Source organism: Homo sapiens, chromosome 7, assembly GCF_000001405.40.
Source record: "Homo sapiens chromosome 7, GRCh38.p14 Primary Assembly".
Classification (NCBI taxonomy): Eukaryota; Metazoa; Chordata; class Mammalia; order Primates; family Hominidae; genus Homo; species Homo sapiens.
In genome coordinates this window covers 85,418,067-85,442,354 of record NC_000007.14, presented here as the reverse complement: position 1 = coordinate 85,442,354, position 24,288 = coordinate 85,418,067, and the positions used below count along the sequence as shown (strand labels likewise).

At 37.3% G+C, this 24,288-nt stretch overlaps 1 long non-coding RNA gene across 1 annotated transcript in view, besides 1 other annotated feature; it reads right to left on the bottom strand.

Annotated features, from left to right (window-relative positions):
* The window catches only part of LINC00972 (long intergenic non-protein coding RNA 972), a 68,217-nt gene extending 46,984 nt beyond the window's left edge, over window positions 1-21,233 (bottom strand). Inside the window, exon 1 of the long non-coding RNA NR_134240.1 lies at window positions 21,097-21,233. This is a non-coding gene — a long non-coding RNA (long intergenic non-protein coding RNA 972). The remainder of the gene's footprint in view (window positions 1-21,096) is intronic.
* Window positions 17,598-18,456: an enhancer, noted in NCBI's record as "H3K27ac-H3K4me1 hESC enhancer chr7:85053215-85054073 (GRCh37/hg19 assembly coordinates)". NCBI's record gives its function as "activates a minimal SCP1, AML or CMV promoter by ChIP-STARR-seq in naive H9 embryonic stem cells {active_cell/tissue: H9 hESC(naive)}" and the evidence as "EXISTENCE:reporter gene assay evidence [ECO:0000049][PMID:30033119]".
* Window positions 21,234-24,288: the final 3,055 nt, after the last annotated feature.

Here is a 24,288-nt window from a genome sequence, read left to right as displayed (position 1 = left end):
TTTAATTAGGTATTACATAATCAAATGTACATTTAGAATGATAATTCTGCAGCAGAGAGGAAGATGAATTGAAGACAGGAGGCTAGAAAGGAGATTTTTGCAATAATCACTGCAAGCAATGTTACTGTCTACACTAAGGCACTGATTCCTAGGGGGTAAAATGACAGAATTTAATATGCAATTATTTGCAGAATCAGAGGAGAGGGAAAACAAAGAGTCTAAAGTAATCCTTTGAATCTTGTCTTGAGAATTTGGTTTATGATATCACTATTTGGAAAGATGAGGAATAAAGAAGGAATTTACAGCTTTGAACAGCGATTATGATAGTTTATTTCCAGGACATGTTGAGTTTGTGGTATATGTGACCTATGAAAATGCAAAAGATAGTTGAGATAAAGATTTGAATATCAGTGGATAGAAGTCTGTGCTAAAAAAAAAAATGACATAGAAATACATCAAAGGGTAATATATACTCTACAGTGAAAAGTCAAAGACATCAGAAGAGAATTCCAAAATTGAATGAAATGATCATTGTAATGACTGACAACATGAGAATATATGCTACAATGTTAATTGAGAAAGGATTACATCTTATCTAGGATAATAGCAATGCAAAAAGTATTATATGTGTATAAAAGAATTCTGTAAGACACACAAAAAATGTGATTTTTTGAATATTGAACTTTTCTTATAATTTTGATTTCTGTTTCTGACATATTATTGTTTGTGTCTTTTAATTAGCAGTCACAAAAACATTCAACAAGAGACTCCCCAAGCTATCTTGACTACAAATTAGCACATGTAACCTATTAGCATCTATAAAGTTAATTCTAATAAAATCAGACACATCACCTCTTAATTATTCTTTCCAGATTATAGGGTCTTAATTATATAAGTGTATCTTCATAAAGAAGCCTTTATAATCCTTCGATCATTCTAATTGGGCCTTTAAATACTTTTTTATCCTCCATTATAGTTTTGTTGAAGTATAACAAGCAGTCATCATGCAATTCATGTTTCTTGGAAGGCAGAGCCCACGCCCTGGAAGTCTGTTTTACCTAGGTAATAGCAGAGTATCTGCCACTAAGCAGTGTTCAACACCTGTTAAATAAATAAATAAATAAGGAATTCGTTTCTAATAGAATTCCTGATTATGCTAGCCCATGATGGACTATTAGATCCCATTGTCTTATATTGGTCTGATGTCAGGAAACTGTCCAGAATTACACTATTAGTTTTACTCGATAGCAAGGATTGATAAACTATGGCCCATAGGCTATATCTGGACAACTGCCTGATTTTATAAATTAAGTTTTACTGAAAAGCTGCCACAGTCATTATTCAATACATTCTCAATGGCTACTTTCATACCATAATGGCACAGTTGAGTAGTTGCCACAGAGAATATGGGACCCACAAAGCCTGAAATATTTACTATCTGACCTTTTTCTGAAAGTGTTTACCAACCCTGAATCTGTATTATAAATATCTAGAGTTTATAATTTATATGTTCAGAATAATTTTTTTCTCTATAAATTTAGGACATTAGCCCATACAGTATAAACATATTTCTTCTAGCTTTCTGCTTACAACTTTGTGAAATACTTTATAGTTTAACCCCATTTCTAACCCAAAAGATTGGTATTATCCTCAAAACTAAAAGATAAAAAGAATCACTGAATAGGTCTTTCACAGATCATTTTCAGATATTCTGGAGAAATATCATTTGGGCAACAATTCCCAGGGAACTGTGCTATGATCATTTCTGTAATTATCTGTTTCTATTGATAACAAATAATTATATACCTTGTTTAACTTATACAAATTTGTTTAGTATACAAAATATTATTTATTTCTCACAAAATTTTTGTGACTTAAAAATTATTATTATCTTGCCTTAAAAATGGGGGAGGAGATTTACAGGATAACTGTAATCATTAATATTCTTACTAAAATGAAAGACCACTACCCCAAGATTTTCCTTCCTTCTAAGAATAGAGTCCTAGAGTAGGTGATCTTTTCATTTTTGCAACACAGAGGGAATAAGAAAGGCTTTAAAAATAGTTTTCCCTTTCCTTCCTTCCTACCAATTTCTATACATTGTAAGGAAAGGCTATATATGTCAATTTTTATCAACATAAGCTGTGCTATCCCTTTTAAAGGCAGTAACAACTCCAGACAGTTTCATTTTATTTATTTTTTATTTATCTTTAAGTTCCAGGATACACTTGCAGAATATGCAGATTTGTTACATAGGTATACATGGGCCATGGTCATTTATTGCACACCTATCAACCTGTCATGTAGGTTTGAAGCCCCACATGCATTAGGTATTTGTCCTAATGCTCTCCCTCCCCTTGCCCCACACCCCCAAACAGGCCCTGGTGTGTGTTGTTCCCCTCCCTGTGTCCATGTGTTCTCATTGTTCAACTTCCACTTATGGGTGTGAACACGTGGTGTTTGGTTTTCTGTTCCTGTGTTAGTTTGCTGAGAATGATGGTTTCCAGCTTCATCCATGTCCCTGCAAAGGATAAGATCTCAATCTCTTTTATGGCTGCATAGTATTCCATGGCATATATGTACGTTTTCTTTATCCAGTCTATTATTGATGAACATTGGGTTGGTTCCATGTCTTTGCTCTTGTAAATAGTGCTGCAATAAACATATGGGTACATGTGTCTTTATTGTAGAATGATTTATAATCCTTTGGGTATATACTTGGTCATAGGAATGCTGGGTCAAATGGTACTTCTGGTTCTAGATCCTTGAGGAATCGCCACACTGTCTTCCACAATAGTTGAACTAATTTACATTCCCACCAATGGTGTAAAAGCATTCCTATTTTTCCATAGCTTCACCAACATCTATTGTTTTCTGGCTTTTAAATAATCTCCATTCTGACTGATGTTATCTCATTGTGGTTTTGATTTGCATTTCTCTAATGATCGTCGATAAGCTTTTTTTTAAATGTGTTTGTTGGCCACATAAATGTCTTCTTTTGAGAAGTGGCTGTATATATCATTTGCCCACTTTTTGAAGGGGTTGTTTGTTTTTTTTTTTTCTTGTAAATTTGTTTAAGTTCCTTGTAGATTCTGGATATTAGACCTTTGTCAGACGGGTAGATTGCAAAAATTTTCTCCCATTCTGTAGGTTGCCTGTTCACTCTGATGCTAGTTTCTTTAGCTATGCAGAAGCTCTTTAGTTTAGTTAGATCCCATTTGTCAGTTTTGGCTTTTGTTGCAATTGCTTTTGGTGTTTTCCTCATGAAGTCTTTGCCCATGCTTATGTGAATGAATTCCCATTTACAATTGCCACGAAGAGAACAAAATATCTAGGAATATAGCTTACAAGGAAAGTGAAGGACCTCTTCAAGGATAACTACAAACCACTGCTGAAGGAAGTAAGAGAGGACACAAACAAATGGAAAATATTCCATGGTCATGGATAGGAAGAATAAATATCGTGAAAATGGCCATATTACCCTATGTAATTTATCAATTCAATGCTATTCCCATCAGATTACCATCAACTGTCTTCACAGAATTAGAAAAACCTACTTTAAATTTCATATGGAATCAAAAAAGAGCCCGTATGACCAAGACAATCCTAAGCAAAAAGACCAAGGCTGGAAACATCATGCTACCTGACTTCAAACTATATACCACAAGGCTACAGTAACCAAAACGGCATGGTACTGGTACCAAAACAGACATATAGACCAACGGAACAGAACAGAGACCTCAGAAATAACATCTACAACCATATGGTCTTTGAAAAACCTGACAAAAACAAGAAATGGGGGAAGGATTCCCTATTTAATAAATGTTGCTGGGAAAATTGGCTAGCCGTATGCAGAAAACTGAAATGGAAACCCTTCATTATACCTTACACAAAAATTAACTCGAGATGGGTTAAAGACTTAAACGTAAAACACAGAACCATAAAAACCCAGACAGTTTCATTTTATAAAATATTTTCAACCCTCCCCTTTATCCCAGAGGGGTTTTCTTCTTTTTTGAGAAAATAAAAAACATGATAATTTATGTATCAATTTATAAATTACCTTTGTTTAATTTCAGCAAAAATATAGTATACATCCAAATCACTTATAATAAATATAGTTATTAATAAGTTAGCTTTCTATTTTTTGTCCATTCTATTGGAGATAACAGGAACAATCTTGGTTTGTCCACTAGTAATTCTCAGTAACTTTTACACATCTGCAAAAAACCCCATTCTCACTGTCTCTGGGCTCCACACTAGGTCTTATTTGTGCACATCCTTAATCTCATGATTAAAACAACAATGAGAAATTTGAATTCAAAGACATTCTGTCATGCTTTGCTCTGAGACTCCTTTACATGTCTAATTTGCCTTCTGCTGCTGAAAATGAAGTTTGCCAAGAAGGAAAATTTTGGAGACTATAAACAAGGGCAAATATATACAGTGGGGGCAATCAAACAACTGAAAAGCAGGTATGGTTCTAGTCTTTCTTTTGGAGTACATAAAGAAGTACTAAATATCTTTTGTTTTTCTTTTGTTGTGCAATACTTAATAGTTTTGCTCTTTATATTGCACTCATCCTTTATTAAAAAATTGATGTTCGCTGGAAATCATATGTTGCTGTTGAATCACATGAAAAATAATCGATCTGTGTGTATGTGTGCCTTCTATTTAAGAAACAAAAAATATTCCGTTGAAAAGGCTTTCTGATCCTTACCTTCTAACCTTTGAAACAAACCCAGAATTTTCCCCTAGAGTGCTAGGTGATATAAAAAAATTAAAGCATAATTATAGTCTCTGCTGATTTAGGAGTTGCAGTGTAATCTCAATTCTTTAGTAGATCGTTGGGCTCCTTGAAAATGTTTGACTGTAAGAAATTTGTTCAAAGTTACATTAAACTTCTTTGGACTAACTAAAGAGTCCTTGGTTTTATTTCTGAGAGTCAACTCTAGGGAAATTTAAAATGCTTTAAACATATGGTTGAGTTGGTTAGTTATAAAAGCCACTTTTGCATGGGGGTTTTACCCAGTGTCATTCCCTGTGCAATATGGTCCACAGGAGCCATACAATAAATGAATTCTCTGTCTGCTTGTTCTATTTCTTCTTAAATTTTAGTTTCTTTCTGGGAAGAGAAAAACCTGTTCCATATGTCTGGGTAATGCTGCTTTGGAGGCATTCACAGAGAGATAATAGGCACAGTTTCTTTGTATATACACGTAATTCTCAGTAACTTTTAAACATCTGCAAAACACCCCACTCTCACTGTCTCCAGGTCCCACATTAGGTCTTGTTTGTCCATATCTTTAATCTCATGATTAAAAAATAATGTGATTGAAATTTGAATTCAAAGACATTCTTCCCTGAATTGCTTTGTCCTGGTGATGGTGGTGTCTATGTCCTTGCAGTCTCTCTCGGGTACAAAGCACAATAATTAGACACAGGATAGTTCGTCAGCATAGTTACAGTGTGTTGACAAAAATAAGAAACAAATGGAATAGCTTCAGTCTTGTGGAGAATGTGAACATCAATGGAGAAAGAAAACTAACCAATTGATAACTGCATTTGCTAAAAATGATTTGGGACAATTCTTTGTTTTTATTTTTGTGGGTACCTAGCAGGTGTATATATTAATGGAGTACATCAGATATCTTGACACAGGCGTGCAATGCATAATAATCATATGATGGAAAATGGGGTGTCCATCCGCTCAAGGAATTACCCTTCGTATTTCAAACAATGCAGTCATATTCTTAGTTTTTATTAATGTAAAGTTAAATTATTTTTTACTATAGTCACTCTGTTGTGCTATCAAATACTAGATCTTACATGTTCTTTCTATTTTTTGTACCCATTAACCATCCTCACCTTCCCCCCCAACCCCCACACTACCATTCCCAGCCTGTAGTAATGATTCTTCTACTATCTCCATGAGTTAAACTGTTTTGATTTTTAGATCCCACAAATAAGTGAGAACATGTGATGTTTGTCTTTCTGTGCCTGGCTTATTTCCTTTAACATAATGACCTCCAGATCCATCTATGTTGCTGCAAATGAAAGGATATCATTCCTTTTTATGTCGGAATAGTACTGTATTGTGTATAAATACCACATTTTCTTTATTCAGTCATCCGTTGATGATACTTAGGTTGCTTCCAAATCTTCACTATTGTCAACAGTGCTGCAACAAACATGGGAGTGCAGATATCTCTTTGATATAGTGATTTCCTTTATTTTGGGTATACACCCAGCAGTGGGATTGCTGAATTGTATGGTAGCTCTATTTTTAATTTTTGAAGAACCTCCAAACTGTTCTTCACAGTGGTTGTATTAATTTACATTCCCACCAACAGTGTACAAGGGTTCCTTTTTCTCCACATAATTTCCAGCATTCGGTATTGCCTCTTTTGTCTATAATCCATTTTAACTAGAGTGACATGATATTTTATTGTAGCTTGATTCACATTACTCTGAGCACCTTTTCTTACATCTGCTTCCATTTATTTGTATGTCTTCTTTCAGAAATGTCCATTCAAATACTTTGCCCATTTTTTAATTGAATTATTAAATTATTTTCCTATAAAGTTGTTTGAGCTCCTTATATATCTTGGTTATTAATCCTTTGTCAGGTGGTATATTTGTCCATTTTCCCTCTGCTGATAAAGACATACCCAAGACTGGGCAGTTTACAAAAGAAAGAGGCTTAATAGATTTACAGTTCCACATGGCTGGGGAGGCCTCACAATTATGACAGAAGGCAAGGAGGAGCAAGCCACATATTACATGGCAGGCAATGAGAGAGCTTGTGCAGGGAAACTCACATTTTTAAAACCATCAGATCTCATGCAACTTATTCACTATCATAAGAACAGTACAGGAAAGACCCACCCCCATGATTCAATTAACTCCCACTGGGTCTCTACCACAACTATGGGAGCAACAAGATGAGATTTGTGTGGGGACATAGAGCCAAGCCATATCATTCCACCTCTGGCTTCTCCCAAATCTCATGTCTTCACATTTCAAAACCAATCATGCCTTCCTGACAGTCCCCCAAAGTCTCAACTCATTTCAGCATTAACTCAAAAGTCCACAGTCCAACATCTAATCTGAGACAAGGCAAGTCCGTTCCTCCTATAAGCCATAAAATCAAAAGCAAGGTAGTTACTTCCTAGATACAATGAGGGTGCAGGCATTGGGTAAATACAGGCATTCAAAATGGGAGAAATTGGCCAAAACAAAGAGGCTGCAGGCCCAATGCAAGTCCAAAATCCAGTGGGGCAGTCAAATATTAAAGCTCCAAAATGATCTCCTCGCTTACATCCAGGTCACACTGATGCAAGAGGTAGGTTCTCATGGCCTTCAGCAGCTCCACTCCTGTTGCTTTGCAGGAGTGGAGCCTCCCTCCCAGCTGCTTCATGGGCTGGCATTGAGTGTCTGTGGCTTTTCCAGATGCATGGTGCAAGCTGTCAGTGGATCTACTATTCTGGTGCCTGGAGGACAGTGGCCTCTTCTCACAGCTCCACTACATGGTGCCCTAGTAGTGACTCTGTGTGGGGTCTCCGACCCCACATTTCCCTTCTGCACTGCCCTAGCAGAGGTTTTCCATGAGGGCCCTGCCCCTGCAACAAATTTATACCTGGGCATCCAGGCATTTCCATATATCTTCTGAAATCCAGGTGGAGGTTCTCAAACCTCAATTCTTGACTCCTATTCACTGGCAGGCTAGACGCCACATGGAAGCTGACAAGGCTTGGAGCTTCCACCCTCTGAAGCAACAGCCCAAGCTGTTATAATTATTTATAACCTTGGCCCCTTTCAGTCATGGCTAGGGTGTCTTGGACACAGGGCACCAAGTCCCTAGACTGCACACAGCAGAGAGACCCTGGGCCTGGGCCATGAAACCATTATTCCTCCTAAACCTCTGGGCCTGCGATGGTAAGGGCTGCTGCAAAGGTCTCTGACATGCCTTGGGACATTTTCTTCATTGTCTTGGTGATTAACATTAGGATCCTCATTACTTATGCAAATTTCTGCAGCCAGCTTGAATTTCTCCTCAGAAAATGGAATTTACTTTACTTTTTTTTTTCTTTTAATGGAGTCTTACTCTATCACCCGGGGTGGAGGGCAGTGGCGTGATCTTGGTTCACTGCAACCTCCACTTCCCAGCTACAAGCAATTCTCCTGCCCCAGCCTCCTGAGTGGCTGGGACTAAAGGCACCCATCATCACGCCTGGCTAATTTATGTATTTTTAGTAGAGACAGAGTTTTACCATATTGGCCAGGCTGGTCTCAAACTCCTGACCTTGTGAACTGCCCATCTCGGCCTCCCAAAGTGATGGGATTACAGGTGTGAGCCATGGTGCCCGACTGGGATTTTCTTTTCTATTGCATTGTCAGGCTGCAAAATTTCTGAACTTTTATGATCTGTTTCCATTTTAAAACTGAATACCTTTAAACAGCACCCAAGTCACCTCTTGAATGCTCTGGTGCTTAGAAATTTCTTCCACCAGATATCCTAAACCATCTCCCTCAAGTTCAAAGTTCTACAAAACCATCTCCCTCAAGTTCAAAGTTCTACAAATCTGTAGGTCAGGGGCAAAATGTCTCCAGTCTCTTTGCTAAAACATAATGAGTCACTTTTGCACCAGTTACCAACAAGTTTCTCATCTCCAATTGAGACCACCTCAGCCTGGACCCTACTGTCCATATCATTATCAGCATTTTGGTCAATGCCATTCAACAAGTTTCTAGGGAGTTCCAAACTTTCCCACATTTTCCTCTCTTCTTCTGAGCCCTTCAAACTGTTCCTACCCCTGCCTGTTACCCAGTTCCAAAATGGCTTCCACATTTTTGGGTATCTTTTCAGCAACACCCTATTCTACTGGTACCAATTTACTGTATTAGTCTGTTTTCACACTGCTGATAAAGACATACCCAAGACTGGGCAATTTACAAAAGAAAGAAGCTTAGTGGACTTACAGTTTCACATGGGTGGGGAGGCCTCACAATCATGGCAGAAGGAAAGGAGGAGCCAGTCACATCCTACGTGGATGGCAGAAAGCAAAGAGAGAGCTTGTGCAGGAAAACTCCCATTTTTACAACCATCAGATCTCATGAGGCTTTTTCACTATCACAAGGACACTATGGGAAAGATCCACTCCCATGATTCAATTATCTCTCACCAGGTCTTTCCCACAACACAAGGGAATTATGGGAGGTACAAATTGAGATCTGGATGGGGACATAGAGCCAAGCCATATGAGATGGGTAGTCTGAAAGTATTTTCTTCCGTTCTGTCATTTGCCTCTTTTGCCTCTTCATTTTTTTGATTGTTTCCTTCAATGTGCAGAAGCCTTTAAATTTGATGTGATCCCATTTGCACATTTTTGCTTTGGTTGCCTATGGTTGTGGGGTATTATTCAAGATATTTTTGCCAAGACCAACATCCTGGAGTTTCCCCAATGTTTTCTTGTAGCAGTTTTATAGTTTGATGTCTTAGCTTTAAGGCCTTTATTCACTTTTATTTGATTTTTGTTTACACTGAGAGTTAGGGGCCTAGTTTCATTCAATTTCATGTGGATATAAAGTTTTATCCACAACATTTATTATAATAAAGAGACTGTCCTTTCTACAATCTATATTCTTGGCACCTTTGTCAAAAATGAGCTCACTATAGGTGTGTGGATTTGTTTCTGGGTTCTATATTGTATTCCATTGGTCTATATGTCTGTCTTTATGCCAATAGCATGGTGTTTTGTTTACTATAGCTCTGTAGTATAATTTGAAGTCAGGTAATGTAATTTCTCTAGTTGTCCTCTTTTTGCTCAGGAGAGCTTTGGCTCTTCTGGGTCTTTTGTGGTTCCAAATAATTTTAGAATTTTTTTTTTCTGTTTTTGGGGAGAATGTCATTGATATGTTGATAGGGATTGCACTGAGTCTGTAGATTGCTTTGGATAGTGTGGACATTTTAACAATATTGATTCATTCAGTCCATGAACATAGAATATCTTTCCATTTTTTGGTGTTCTTTTCAATTTCTTTTATCAGTATTATATAATTTTTATTATAGAGATCTTTCACTTTGTTTTGGTTAATTCCTAAGTATTTAATTTTATTTTTGGCTATTGTAAATTAGATTACTTTATTACTTCTTTATTTATATTTCAGATTGTTCACCGTTGGTGTATAAATATGCTACTGATTTTTGTATGTTTATCTTGTATCCTACAGTGTTACTGAATTCATTTATCAGTTCTAATAGTTTTTTGGTTGAGTCTTTAGGTTTTCTAAATATAACATTATATAATCTGAAAACAAGGATAATTCAACTGTTCTTCTCAATTTGGATCCCATTTATATCTTTCTGTTCTCTGATTGCTCTAGCTAGGACTTTTAGGACTATGTTCAACAACAGTGGTGACAGTGGGCATCTTTTTGTTTCAGATATTAGAGAAAAGGCTTTCAGTTTTTCCCCATCGACTACTATACTAGCTGTGGATCTGTGGAATATGGCTATTATGTTGAAGTATGTTCTTTCTATACCCAGCTTTTTGAGAATTTACATTATGAAAGGATGTTGAATTTTAATGATTTTTGAGCATCAGTTGAAACAGTCATATGGTTTTTCTCCTTTTTTCTGTTGGTATAATGTATTACATTGACTAATATGAGTGTTTTGAACCTTTATCACATCTCTGGGATAAATCCCATTCGGTTGCTATGAATGATCTTTTCACTGTGTTGTTCAATTTGTTTTGCTAGTGTTTTATTGAAGATTTTGCATTGATATTCCTGAGAGATACTGGCCTTCAGTTTTGGTTTTGTGTGTGTGTGTCTTTTTCTGGTTTTGGTATCAAAGTAATATTGGCTTTATAAAATGAGTTTGGAAGTATTCCCTCCTCCTCTATTTTTTTTTTAATAGTTTGAGTAGGATTGGTATTAGTTCTTCTTTAAATGTTTTGTAGAATTTAGTAGTGAAGCCATTGGGTCCCAGGTTTTGTTTGCTGGGAGACTTTTTATTACAGCTTCCATCTCATTAAGTGTTATTAGTCTGTTCATGTTTTGGATTACTTCACGGTTCAATCTTGGTAGATTATATGTGTCTAGGAATTCATCCATTTGAAATTTATCAATTAAAGTTAGATTTTTCAAATTATTTGCCATAGTTGCTCATAGTAGCCACTAATGATCCTTTGAATTCCTGTGGTATCAGTTTTAATGTCTCATTTTTCAACTCTGATTTTATTTATTTCTGTCTTCTCTCTTTTTTCTTTCTTAGTCTACCGAAAGGTTTGTCAATTTTGTTTTCTTTCAAAAAAATCAGCTTTTTGTTTTGTTGACCTTTTGTATTATTTTCTTCATTTCAAATTCATTTACTTCTGCTCTAATCTTTGTCAGTTCTTTTCCTCTAATAATTCTGGGTTCAATTTGCTCTTCTTTTTCTAGTTCTTTAAGATGCATTCTTAGGTTATTTATTGGACGTTTTACTTCTTTTCTGATACAGGCCATTATAGCTATAAATCTCCCTCTTAGTACTGCTTTTGCTGTATCTCATAGGTTTGGATATGTTGTGTTTTCATTATCACTCGTTTCAAGAAATTTTTCAATTATTTTTTACTTTGTTATTGACCCACTAGTCATTCAGGCTCATATTGTTTAATTTCCATGTGTTAGTATAGTTCCCAAAATTCCTCTAGCTGTTTATATCTAGTTTTATTCCATTGTGGTCAGAAGATGCTTGATAAAATTTCAATATTTTTGTCAGGGCGTGGTGGCTCATGCCTGTAATCCTAGCACTTTGGGAGGCTGAGGCGGGCGGATTACGAGCTCAGGAGATCGAGACCATCATGGCTAATACAGTGAAACCCCGTCTCTACTAAAAATACAAAAAATTAGCTGGGCATGGTGGCGGGCGCCTGTAGTCCCAGCTACTCAGGAGGCTGAGGCAGGAGAACCTGGGAGGTGGAGCTTGCAGTGAGCGGAGACTCCTCTCAAAAAAAAAAAATTCTATATTTTTGAATGTTTTAATACTTGTTTTGTGAACTAACATGGTCTATTCTCGAGCATGATCTATGTGCTGAGGAGAAGAATGTGCATTCTGCAGCTATTGAATGAAATTTTCTGTAAATATCTATTAGGTTTATGTTTTCTATACTGCAGATTAAGTCTGATATTTCTTACTTGAGTTTCTGTCTGGGACATCTGTCTAAAACCAAAAGTGGAATGTTGAAGTCTCCAGCCGTTATTGTATTCAGGTCTCTCTCTTTTTCTCTCTCTCTCTTTCTCTCTCTCTCATAATATTTTCTTTATATGTGAGTGTTCTAGTGTTGACTACATATATAGTTATAGTGGTTATATCCTGTTGCTAAATGGACTTCTTTATCATTACATAATGTCCTTCTTTGTCTTTTATTGTAGTTTTTTTCCCAAACCTATTTTGTCTGATATAAGTATAGCTACTTCTGCTTTTTTTGTTGTTTGTTTCCATTGGCATGGATTATGTTTTTCCATCCCTTTATTTTCAGTCTCTGTGTTTCTTTATAGGGGAAGTGTGTTTCTTGTAGGCAACACATCAATGAGTCTTTTTAAAAATCCGTTCCCCTACTCTATGACTTTTGATTGGAGAGTTTAGTCCCATTTATGTTCAATGGTATCATTGATAAGTAAGGACTTACTCCTGCTATTTTGTTATTTTTTTTTTCTGGTTGTTTGGTAGTCTTCTCTTCCTTCTTTCCTTCCTTAAATGTGAAAATAAAGTATTAAAAAACTATTTCCTAAACAGAACTAACATTAGAATTATCTGAATCATCAGAATCGTCTATTTCAGAAAAAAATCAAATTCATCAAATGAATCTTCAGCCAACAACTATTCAAGAATGATGTTAACATCACACATAGGAATGCTACATTTTCTAAGATTTGACATTTTTAGTGATTGAGAATTACTATATTTTGTAAATGGAAAGACCACTACTGAAAACAGAGAATGATATAAATAGGGTTTTCAAGGTTAATGTACTAAAGCCATGTGAAAATAATAATAAAAGTGAGATATTTCATGGCAGTTATCTCAGGATAACCACTGCAGCCACAAGTGCTGCCAGTGAGTATTCTTGGGGCAAACAGGAAAAGGGTTAAGATAAGAGAAGGTTATACACCACAATTACAGTGTTATCATAATCTGTGTTTTCCAATTGCTTACTATTTCCAGTGAGTTATTTACCTTCAGATGATATTTTTTTTCTTGTTCATTAACATCCCTTTCATTCAGATTGAAGAACTCCCTTTAGCATTTCTTGTAGGATAAGTCTCGTGTTATTTGTCTTGGAAAGTACTTATTTCTTCTTCATGCTTGAAGGATAACTAGACTTGGTATACTATTATAGGGTAAAAGTTTTTTTTTTGTTTTTTTTTTTGTTTTTTTTTTTTTTTTTACTTCAGCACTTTAAATATGTCATGCAACTGTCCTGGTCTGTAATATTTCCACTGAAAAGTCTGCTGCCAGACATATTGGAGCTCCATTTTATGTTATTAGTTTCTCTTGCTGATTTTGTGTTCCTTTCTTTATACTTGATCTTTGGGAGTTTGATTATTAAATGCCTTGAGATAGTCTTCTTTGGGTTAAAACTGCTTGGTGTTCTATAAACTTCTCGTACGTGGATATTCATATTTTTCTCTAGGATTGGGAAATTCGCTGATCTTATTCCTTTTAATGAACTTTCTACCCCTATCTCTTTTTCTACCACCTCTTTAAGGTCAATAGCTCCTAGATTTGCCCTGTTGAGGCTATTTTCTAGATCTCGTAGGCATGCCTCATTGTATTTTATTCTCTTTTTCTTTTATCTCCTCTGACTATTTTCATATAGCCTGTCTCCAAACTCACTAAATCTTTGTTCTTCTCAATGAATTATGCTATTAAAAGACATCTGCATTCTTCAGTATGTCAACTGGATTTTTCAACTCTAGAATTTCTGTTGATTCTTTTAAATTATTTTAATATCTTTGTTAAACTTACCTGATAGAATTCTGAATTTCTTCTCTGTGTTATCTTGAATTTATTCGAGTGTCCTCAAAACCGCTAATGTGAATTCTCTCTGAAAGGTTGCATGTCTCCGTTTCTCTAGGATTAGTCCCTGATGCCTTATTTAGTTTGTTTTGTGAAGTCATGTTTTCCTGGATAATCTTGATGTTTGTAGATGTCTGGGAATTGAAGAGTTAGGTATCTATTGTAGTCTTCACTGTCTGGGCTTGTTTGTCACCATTTTCCTTGAGAAGGCTTTCCAGGTATTCAAAGAGAATTAGGCCTCAATATTGCTGTGGTTTTTCATGCTGGTAGAGGTACTGCCTTTGTGGTCTTGGATAAATTCCAGGATTCTCTAGATTGCCAGACAGAGACACTTATTCTTCCATCCTAATTTCCCCAAACAGAGTCTCTCTCTCTCTCTCTCTGCTGAGCCACATGGAACTGGGGGTGTAGTGATTCAAGGACACATGTGGCCACCACCACTGACACTGCACTGGGTCAGACCTGAGCCAGGACAGCACTGGAACTTGCCCAAGACCTGTTGTAACTACTACTTGCTACCACCTGTGTTCACTGAAGGCCCTAGGGCTTTACAATCAGTAGGTGTCTAAGCCATCCGTGTTTGTGCCCTTCCTTCAGGGCAGTGAGTTCTCCCAGGCCCAGGTGGGTCCACATATGCTCTCGGGAAGCCAGGTATTAGAGTCAAAAACTTTAAAAATTTGTTTGATGTTATATTGTACCGTGGCTAAGCTGCCACTCAAACCACAATATAAAGTCTTTCCAGCTTTTCCTTCCCCTTTCCACAGACAGAGGAGCCTCTCCTGTGGGCACCACCACCATAGGCCCACAAGGAAGTTCTTCCAAGCCACCACCGAAGTTCACTTAAAGCTCAAGGGCTCTTCAATCAGCTTGTGGTGAATACTGTCAGGTCTGGGACTCACCCTTCAGGGTAGTGGGCTAACCACTGGCCCAGGTCAGGTCTAGAAGTGCTGTCCAAGAATCTGGCCCTAAACTCAAGGACCCCAAAACCTCCATGTTGCTCTACCCCACTGTAGCCAAGCTGGTAGCAAAAGTGCAAGACAAAGTCCCATTTAATTTTTCCTCTGCTTTTCTCAAACAGAAGGAGTCTTTCACTGTAGCCATCACAACCAGTAACATGCTGGATCACACCTGTAGCCAGCATGCCTTAGAGCACAAGGCCCATGGCATACTTCCTGGGTATCACTGGTGGTTACTCAGGGCCCAGGGGCTGTTTAGTCAACAGTGATGAATCCCTAGGGCCTGGAATAAGGGTCTCACGACTCTGCCAGATGCCCTGTCCTACCGTGACTGAGCTGGTATCCAAGATGCAAGACAAAATCCTTTCCAGTCTTTGCTTTCTTCCACTTAAGCAGAAGGAAGGAGACACTTTTGTTGTTGCGAGCTCCACAGCTTGGAGTTGGGTTAGAGTGATGCAAGCCCTTCTTTAGCTACCTCAGCTAGTGTCTCCCTAGGTCACATGCCACCCTAGTCCTCTGGCTTTCAGCCCAGCACAAGGAGTTGCCTAGGAATCAGTCCCTGAGTGCTAGAGTGCCTTTTCAGTTTGTTTAGTGACCCAGAGCCCTTTGACCTGTGGTTGTGAGACTTTCCAAGAAACTCAAGTTCTGACCAATGGAATGGATGACTCTCCTCTGGCTAGATATGGTCTAAATGCTCCCTCTGTGTGTGGTCACTGGCTGAGCTCAGTTCAGCTTTGTTCTCTGCTATGACATGGCAAAACTGAGTTCAAGGTAATAACCCCCATTCACTGTGCTATTTTTCCGCCAAATGTACATACTCTGTGGTGGCATCTGTGGTTCAAGACTGTCTCTCAGAACCTCCTCAATGCCTCTTTCAATGATACGAAGTTAAAACCAGTACTGTGATTGCTCACCTAATTTTTGGTTCTCATGATTGTACTTTTCTGTGTGCAGATAGTTGTTAAAATTTGGTGTTACAGCACAGGTTATGAACGGTGCTGGCTTCTATTCCACTATCTTGCTCCACTGTCTCTGGGCCAATTCTTGTTGTATGATGTTGCAGAAATGGAATGAAGACTTTTTTTTATGATTTTTCCACTAACTCTTGCTCTAATTTCCATTTTCCTAACTAGGAAGATTATAATTTTAAAATGATCAGCTTAAGCAATAGTGAAAATATAATTTAAAATAACCCTAAGTATCTCATTTAAATAGAAATTCAACAAATAGATTATAAACCTTATGAGTAAATAATAAACCTTGTGAGTACAGGGCCAAACACATTCTTATATGTACTCTATTATCAATTAATTCACATTGAGCTCACAGCCAACTGCACATAACTCATGCCTGAACAGTTTATGTGGCGCATGTATTTTCTCATTAGGACACAGCACAGTCTTCCTATATTTAGGAACACCAGAGAGTACTTCAGTACTACTCTTGTTGGCCATTTTAAACAACAAAATTGCCCCAAGAAGCATTAAAATGTGAAAACCTGGCATTAAGTACATCTTGAAAAAGATACTTGTTCTATAGTCTGAGACCTGAAGCAAGAAAGGCATGGTGTCACCTTATTTGATGTCATCTGGGAACATTTGCATCAGGTGACTCAAATTTGTCACAGTTCTGTGCATTTCACAAATAACTGTGAAAACATGAGTGTTGACATGAAGGTTACAAACAACTTTTAGTGAATAGGCAAATTTTGCAAATATACGATCCATAAGTAATGAGGATCATCTGTATGAGAAAGGTTTTTAACTTAATTTGTATACTTATACCTCTCCTTATAAGTTACAAAGTGATTTTAAGGGATTTTGGATACAACATATAAAACTAGAAAAAATATAACAGCAGAAGAGGCAAAAAAATTAAGGCTAAGGATAAAATCAGAACATATTGATACCAAAGGATTTCATGTAGTGATTAAAGCCAGTTTCCTAATTTTATTTTAATGTTCTGGGTGTGTAGAATTATATGATTTAAGGGTCAAACACAGAGCCTGGAAAACACTGATAGTGAAGAAGTGGGAACAATGATAACATACAAATGAAGTTAGTTGCACCAAAAATTAGCTGTTTACTTCTTTACTGTGTACCACATCTCTGTGTAATAGATGAAGTCTTATTACAAAATAATTTTTTTTCTCAAGCAAATGAGTATGTTATATTAAAATTTCAAAAGGCCACTCTGCATCTCAATCATGTATACAATTTTCTAGCTCAATGACTTTGTGAAGTTATTAAGGTGCCATAGGTACTGATCATTTCATCTTAAGCAAAAATGTAATTAACAAAATCATGTAGAAATTACATAGGTGAATTAAGTTTTTGTGCCCAGACCTAATGGTAAGATAATCTAGGTACAGAAAAGCATGGATGGTGAGTTAAGATCAGGGGTTGCTGGAGTAGACTTACGCCTGCTTTTGAGAGCCCATGGTATGTTCCATATCTACTTCCAACTCAGTATTTGAAGATGCCTTGCTGACAGTTAAAAAGTGGCTTTGCTGGGAGTATTTACACCATAGAAATCAACAAAAAATCGTGGATGCTTTTCTCCTGAAAAATAGGTTTTTGAACATTAACCAGCACAACCCTGACTGAAATTCATAGGATATCATATATGTGTCATACAAAATATATCCCATTATTTAAGATAATAAATTATTGTCCTAGGATCCTTAGGGTGTCACTTTTCCAGCCTGAAGTCTCTACGGCCAGTGGCACCTTTGCCTAAGTTTTGCTCAGGCCTGCTGGGCTCCTTCCACCATCCACTCGGCCTGGCAGGCTGTGCCTGGCTCATGCTGCCAGCCCGGATCTACAAGGGTGAGCCAGGTGTGGAGTGGCAAGGGGTGCATGAGCTAGGTCTGGGCTTTCCGAAGGGCTGCAGCTCTGCTCTCTTTGTCATTTGCAATATGGCGAGTCAGCGGTAGGGGAGGGGGGTGTCTGTTTCAGCCCTGTTTGTGTTACAACTCTTTCATTCCCACCATTCAGCAGATTCCAAGTTCTTGTCCCGCATCTAGGAAGACTGAGGTACACAGAAAACTGGAGGGTGAGCAAAGGCAAGAGGTGCTTTATAAAGCAACAGCACAGCTCTCAGGAGGCCTGAAGTGGGTAGCTCCTTTCCACTGGCAGGTCATCCGAAGGAATATGCAGTTCTTAGCAAAGAGGAGATCCTGAGTGAGTGTGTAGCTCCTATCTGCAGGCAGGTCGTTCGGACGTCTTTGTGAGTCTGGCTGAGTCGGGGGTGGGGGTGGCTTTATAGGTTTCAGATAGGAGGCCGTGCATGCTAATTGGTCTATGGGTGGCCATGGGAAGGCCTGGAAAAAGCACCAGAAGTTTTCACTTCAAGCCACAGACTCCACCTGGAACTTACAGCCTGGTCCCCATGCCATAGGCCATTTCTCGCCTGAAGGTGAGGCTTCACCAGGGATCCACCCCTTTCTGCCCAGGAGCCTGTCTGCCTCCTGCTGCCATCTACATGTCATCCAGGGCACCCAGACTGTTCATGTCTACGGGTGCCTGCAGGCCCACCCTGAGCTGCCTTCGGCATCTCCAGCAGCCTCCCTCCCATGCTAGTCAGCACCCAAAGTCTGGAGGGGGCTGAGGCAGCAGGGGGCTGGCATATCAGTGCTGCCCTGAGTGTGCGCGCAACCGGCCAGGTCGCCAAAGCGCCTGAGCTCATCCTCAACTTTGATCTGAAATCAGAGCAGGTGCTGGGAGCAGAGGAACCCAGGTAATGGAAGCAGGGAACCTGCGGGATACGGGTGGCTTCCCAGGACCCCAAGGGTGCAGAGGTGCCCAGGTTTGTAGCCTTGGCTATGCAACTGCAGCTGCACCAGGGAGTGAGGGGCTCCCATTCCACCAACTAGGTAGGAGGCGGGGCTCCTGCCAGCTCCCAGCCCCCAGTAGCCCAGGTATGCCAGGGTCTGGAACCACAGCTGGGCAGCTATAGCTGTGCGGGGAAACACGGGGCTCCGGCCCAGAGGACCTGGAAGTGGGAGAGGCCCCCACTGGCTCCGCGGAGCACGCAGCCCCTCTGTACCGCCCCCATATTAGCCGACATCTTCTCAGTGGCCATCCCGGACGGGCTGCCGCTGCCATGATTATTAACATTCATAATTTGTAATCTTTCAGTATATACTACAGTTGAAGATCTAAGAAAATACAAAGAACCCAAAGCCACTGGAATTCTTTGTTATCAGTCATTTGTCTTAGGTTTCCCTTTATACTTTCAAAACGTAACTTACTTTCATCTATACATAATGTTGAAAGATTTTAAAATCTTTGGGCTCCTGAATCATTAATAGCCTTATGAAATGCTAGTGATAAACTGAAAAAAAAAGTATTCTGTTTGTAACCAGGGACTGCTTTAATTATTTTCACCTATAGTATTGCCTTCTCATACAGGGCCTGTATATATTTATAACAATTAACTAGACCTGCCACTAAAAGATAACAAAAGAAAAAGGAAAGCCTAAAATACCATGTCGTATGTGCTTTACTTCACTCTATTAAAACCTATATCCTTTGTAACTTTTTAATTTAAAAAGTTAATTTAGTAAAACATGTTTAATTTATTTTCCTAATTTCTATAATCAGGTGATTATCCACCTTGCAGGGGATCTTTCTTTCGTGTAGTTCTGCTCCTGTAATTTGACATCTTGCTCTTGAGAGTCTTCTTCCTTTTTAAAGGCATAAACCTTTTATTTTTAAAAAGTGTAATTGAAACATAACATTATTGTAAACACAATTCATGGTTCCCACAAAAGAATCAATAGTTAAGTGCCATCATATTTCACTTTCCTTAACAGATGTACTGCTTAAATTTTTATTTAAATCTAATTCTATTTTTGTGCTGGTATAATTTCAGGAGGTTTTTTTTCTATTTTTTTTCTTTTGGACATACTTGACAATAAATTCTAATCTTTTCTCCCCAAAACTCCTTGCTAATAAGTTTGTAATCTATAAATGTGTGCCCAAATTAAGTTATGTAGCTACTATTTTAAAAGTTGTTCCGCAAGGTTAAAACAAATTTTTTAATGTAAAGAGTGACAACCTCACGTAGTCACTAAGCCATTTCAATTTATTTCATTGTATTTTTAAGCCATTTTCCTTCTTAAGTCATTTTACTTTATTTTTTTATTGCTGTATTTGGATGTTCTAAAATATATTATGTAAGCACATTTTCTCTAAGTTACAGATTTATTTTGTCTTCACATTTTTAAAATAATCCTAAATGACATAAAATATAATGAAGCTATTACATAATTCTGGTCCTATTGTCTAAAGACACCACAATATAGCTGATGGCAAGGATCCTTTGTGTCTTTTATTTTCCATAGGTCTGGAGGTGAATAGCCACTGATTCCTTTCCAGCACCAATAACCTTTCTGTAACCTGTTTCTTCAGTTGTAAAATGAAGGAGCTAACTAAACATTAAGCTGTTTTGTTGTTGTTTTGACTGTTCTCATTCTTCATTTTCAAGTCTAAAAACCAATATGGATATAACTTTTTGCAGTGAGACATAAATAACTTCTTTTTCCAATGTTTTTTATTCTCAATCAGAGAAGGTGTGTATTTACGTGTATGGGTTTAAATTAGGAAAAAAAGAAACTTTTTCAAGCCAAAACATGAAAGTTGGTTATTTTCCAAAATAAGTCAATGTATATATTTTTAAGAACAAAAATAAATACTTTGTCAGTTGGCCATGGCTCAAGGCAAAATGAAAAGTTTACTCCCATTCTTGAAAAGCAGTTTTTTTTTTAATGGAAATCCTAAAAACTTAAAGTTGTAGCATAAGTGGCCACAAAAATGACAAGATTATACTGGATAGCAGATAAGGCCCTGAACATTTTCCATTCAAGCAATAAAAGAATATCTTGGAATTTATTTTAAATAATTTTTAACACACAGCTAGATGTTGCCATAATTGGAATATTTTTATGAAATTAGAAACAACAATTAGTTTTAACCCCATTCAATTCTCCATACTTAACCAACATGTACAAATTATTTAGAGGTATAAAATAAAAATAAGTAGGTATAAAAATAAGTAGAACTTTCTTACCACTCTTTGGCCTCCATTGTAATGATCTATTTTGTTCCCCCCTGAGGCAGTGTATGATGAGAGGCAGAAGCTTCCCTTCAGCAGTTGCCATTCACAGGAAGTATTGAGGGTGATTTATTGCACTGGTCCTGATTCACCCTGAGTGGAAGCAGAGAATAAAGGATTCTTATTATTTTCCTAGCTTAGTTTTATTTTTTGCTTTCCAATAATTATCTAAGCACCAACCAATTTCCTGTTATTTATTTCCAATCTTTTCAAGTAAACTGATGTATCTAGCACACACAAAACTATCTATCCACTCAACGCCTATGAGAGCCCTAGTTTGAGTAAATAACACTCCATATTAATAAATGTCTTAGCTAATCTTTTTGGACCAATCTTTTGTACAAAAAAAAAAAGAAGAAGAAGAAGAGAGAGAGAACAAGAGAGGAAGGCAGACCTTATCTTCTCTGAACTAAGTATCTATTATATACTATGTACTATAACTTATATAGTTATATAACTTATATAGCTAGTATATAATAGTATATCTATTATACAGTATCTACTATAGATGTATTATATACTATAACTAGTATCTATTAAAAACACTTTCATAAGCTAAAATATAAAGGTGCAATTTGAGAACATTGGACTGAGTGAAGAAATGTATGCTATGACCTACTTGTCCATGTACTGTTATTTCTCTTCAATGAAGTTTTGAGAAAACTTGGTTTTATGCCTGTTGACCATAATGCTAAAACATATGGTCTTTTTACAGTGATTTTCTCTAATTCCCTTACTAACAAACCACAGTGATAATTTCTGCTCATTTGTCCATGTAGATATATTTTTGAAATTTCTAAAGAAGGCAAAAAAACCTCTCTTTACATGATAGAAATTAAGGCCTAGAAAAGAATATATGGTACACTTAAATATATCAATATTAACTGCTAATATTTTTCAAACACTGGAGGATTACACATGTAATTTATCCAGATCAGGAAAAATGACAAAAAACAAAGCATATACAAATCCAAAAGTCATTCAGTTCAAAGTAGTAGGATCTGGTTTATAAAATTCAAAAATTGGTCCAACTTTTACCTGAAAAGTTGTATTGCAATCTGCCTCAGGAGATCATGGGACTGTATTCATGAATACTCTGAAGAGATAATGCTTAAGAAAGGGTAGCTACTTGAGTGGCTCTTTCCTACCATGAATCTGATTAATTTTTAAATGAAGACATCATAAGCTGTTGTGAATTATGCAGTCTTATTACTTTTTTTCTCGATTTCCTTTTAAAATTAACTATTTGATTTTCTAATAATGACTTTGGTAAACACAGAATTTTTAGAAGTGTAACTATCAAGACTGGTAAGAGATTACTAAATATATTTGTAAGAAACTTGGCAAGCCAATAACATTTATGGCCTTCAATTTATTAATATAAGAAATCACAAATCTTAGCAATCTCTAAATTCTCTTCTAGCTCTAAAATTCTATGACTTTTTGCTAACCAAATAATCTTATTTTCATACGTCTTTCTTAATTAATCTTGAGCTAGCACATGCAAGCTGCTGGATTTAACTTAGAAATTAAGACTGTAGTGAAATGATTCACAATCTCTAAGTCACTGTAGATATGTTCATATGTCATTTAACATAAAACTATTTTTTACATTAATATAAAATACTCATTGTATTTATTTTACTACTAAATATGCAACTGGAGAAATGTCTGAAATGGCACACCTGTTCTCAATTCAGCAAAAAAGGTAAAATCAGAAACAACACACCTGTTACATGGTGTAAGAAAACTGCTGTGCTGAAATTCCTTCTCCGGGGGGGAGGGGGGGGAAGAGACGTGGTACATTTTATTTAATCAAAAATATTCATTGATTACTAAATCTGTACAAAATATTTTGCTGAGTGCCACAGGAAGCAGTACACAGCCTAGCCTTCAACTGACTTTAAAATTGATAGAATTGGCCGGGCTCAGTGGCTCATGCCTGTAATCCCAGCACTTTAGGTGGCCAAGGCGGGCGGATCACAAGGTCAGGAGGTCGAGACCATCCTGGCTAACATGGTGAAACCCCGTCTCTACTAAAAATACAAAAAATTAGCCAGGCATGGTGGCATGCGCCTGTTGTCTCAGCTACTTGGCAGGCTGAGACAGGAGACTCGCTTGAACCTGGGAGGCAGAGGGTGCAGTGAGCCGACGTCATGCCACTGCACTCCAGCTTGGGCGATAGAGTGAGACTCCATTTCAAAAAAAAAAAAAAAGAAAAAGAAAGAAAGAAACAACAATGATAGACTGGATTAAGAAAATGTAGCACATATACACCATGGAATACTATGCAGCCATAAAAAATGATGAGTTCACGTCCTTTGTAGGGACATGGATGAAATTGGAAATCATCATTCTCAGTAAACTATCGCAAGAACAAAAAACCAAACACCGCATATTCTCACTCATAGGTGGGAACTGAACAATGAGATCACATGGACACAGGAAGGGGAATATCACACTCTGGGGACTGTTGTGGGGTGGGGGGAGGGGGGAGGGATAGCATTGGGAGATATACCTAATGCTAGATGACGAGTTAGTGGGTGCAGCGCACCAGCACGGCACATGTATACATATGTAACTAACCTGCACAATGTGCACATGTACCCTAAAACTTAAAGTATAATTAAAAAAAAAAAAAAGAACCATCAAAAAAAAAAAAAAAGAAAGATAGATAGAATAAGCCAAGCATTTATCAGTTTCTTCTTCATCCATTTATTTATTCAAGATTTATTGATTTATTATTTACTATTGCCCATTGAGCTTGCAATCTAGGGCTAGCAGGCAAAGAACAGACCACAGATTATTAACCTAATATGAAAAATGCCAGGCAGATAATCCAAACTCAGATTGATTTCTCTACATGGTCAGTTCAAACAAAGCTCAACAAAAAGAGGTATCGTTTACCCTTGGACTGAATGCCAAAAGAAAAACAGTTTTTTGAAAAACAAGAAGGATGCTTTTGAGATATACCAAAATCTCTTGCAAAGAACCTGAAATTTTAGAAGGCTTTACCTGTCTGAGGAACAGTTAGATGATCAGTGTTCTTGTGATATGAGTTGACACTGAGAAGGTAGGCTGGGGACAGATCTGGTAGAGATTTCCACACATAAAATATCTGGATTGTATTTTAAACACTGAGAAAAA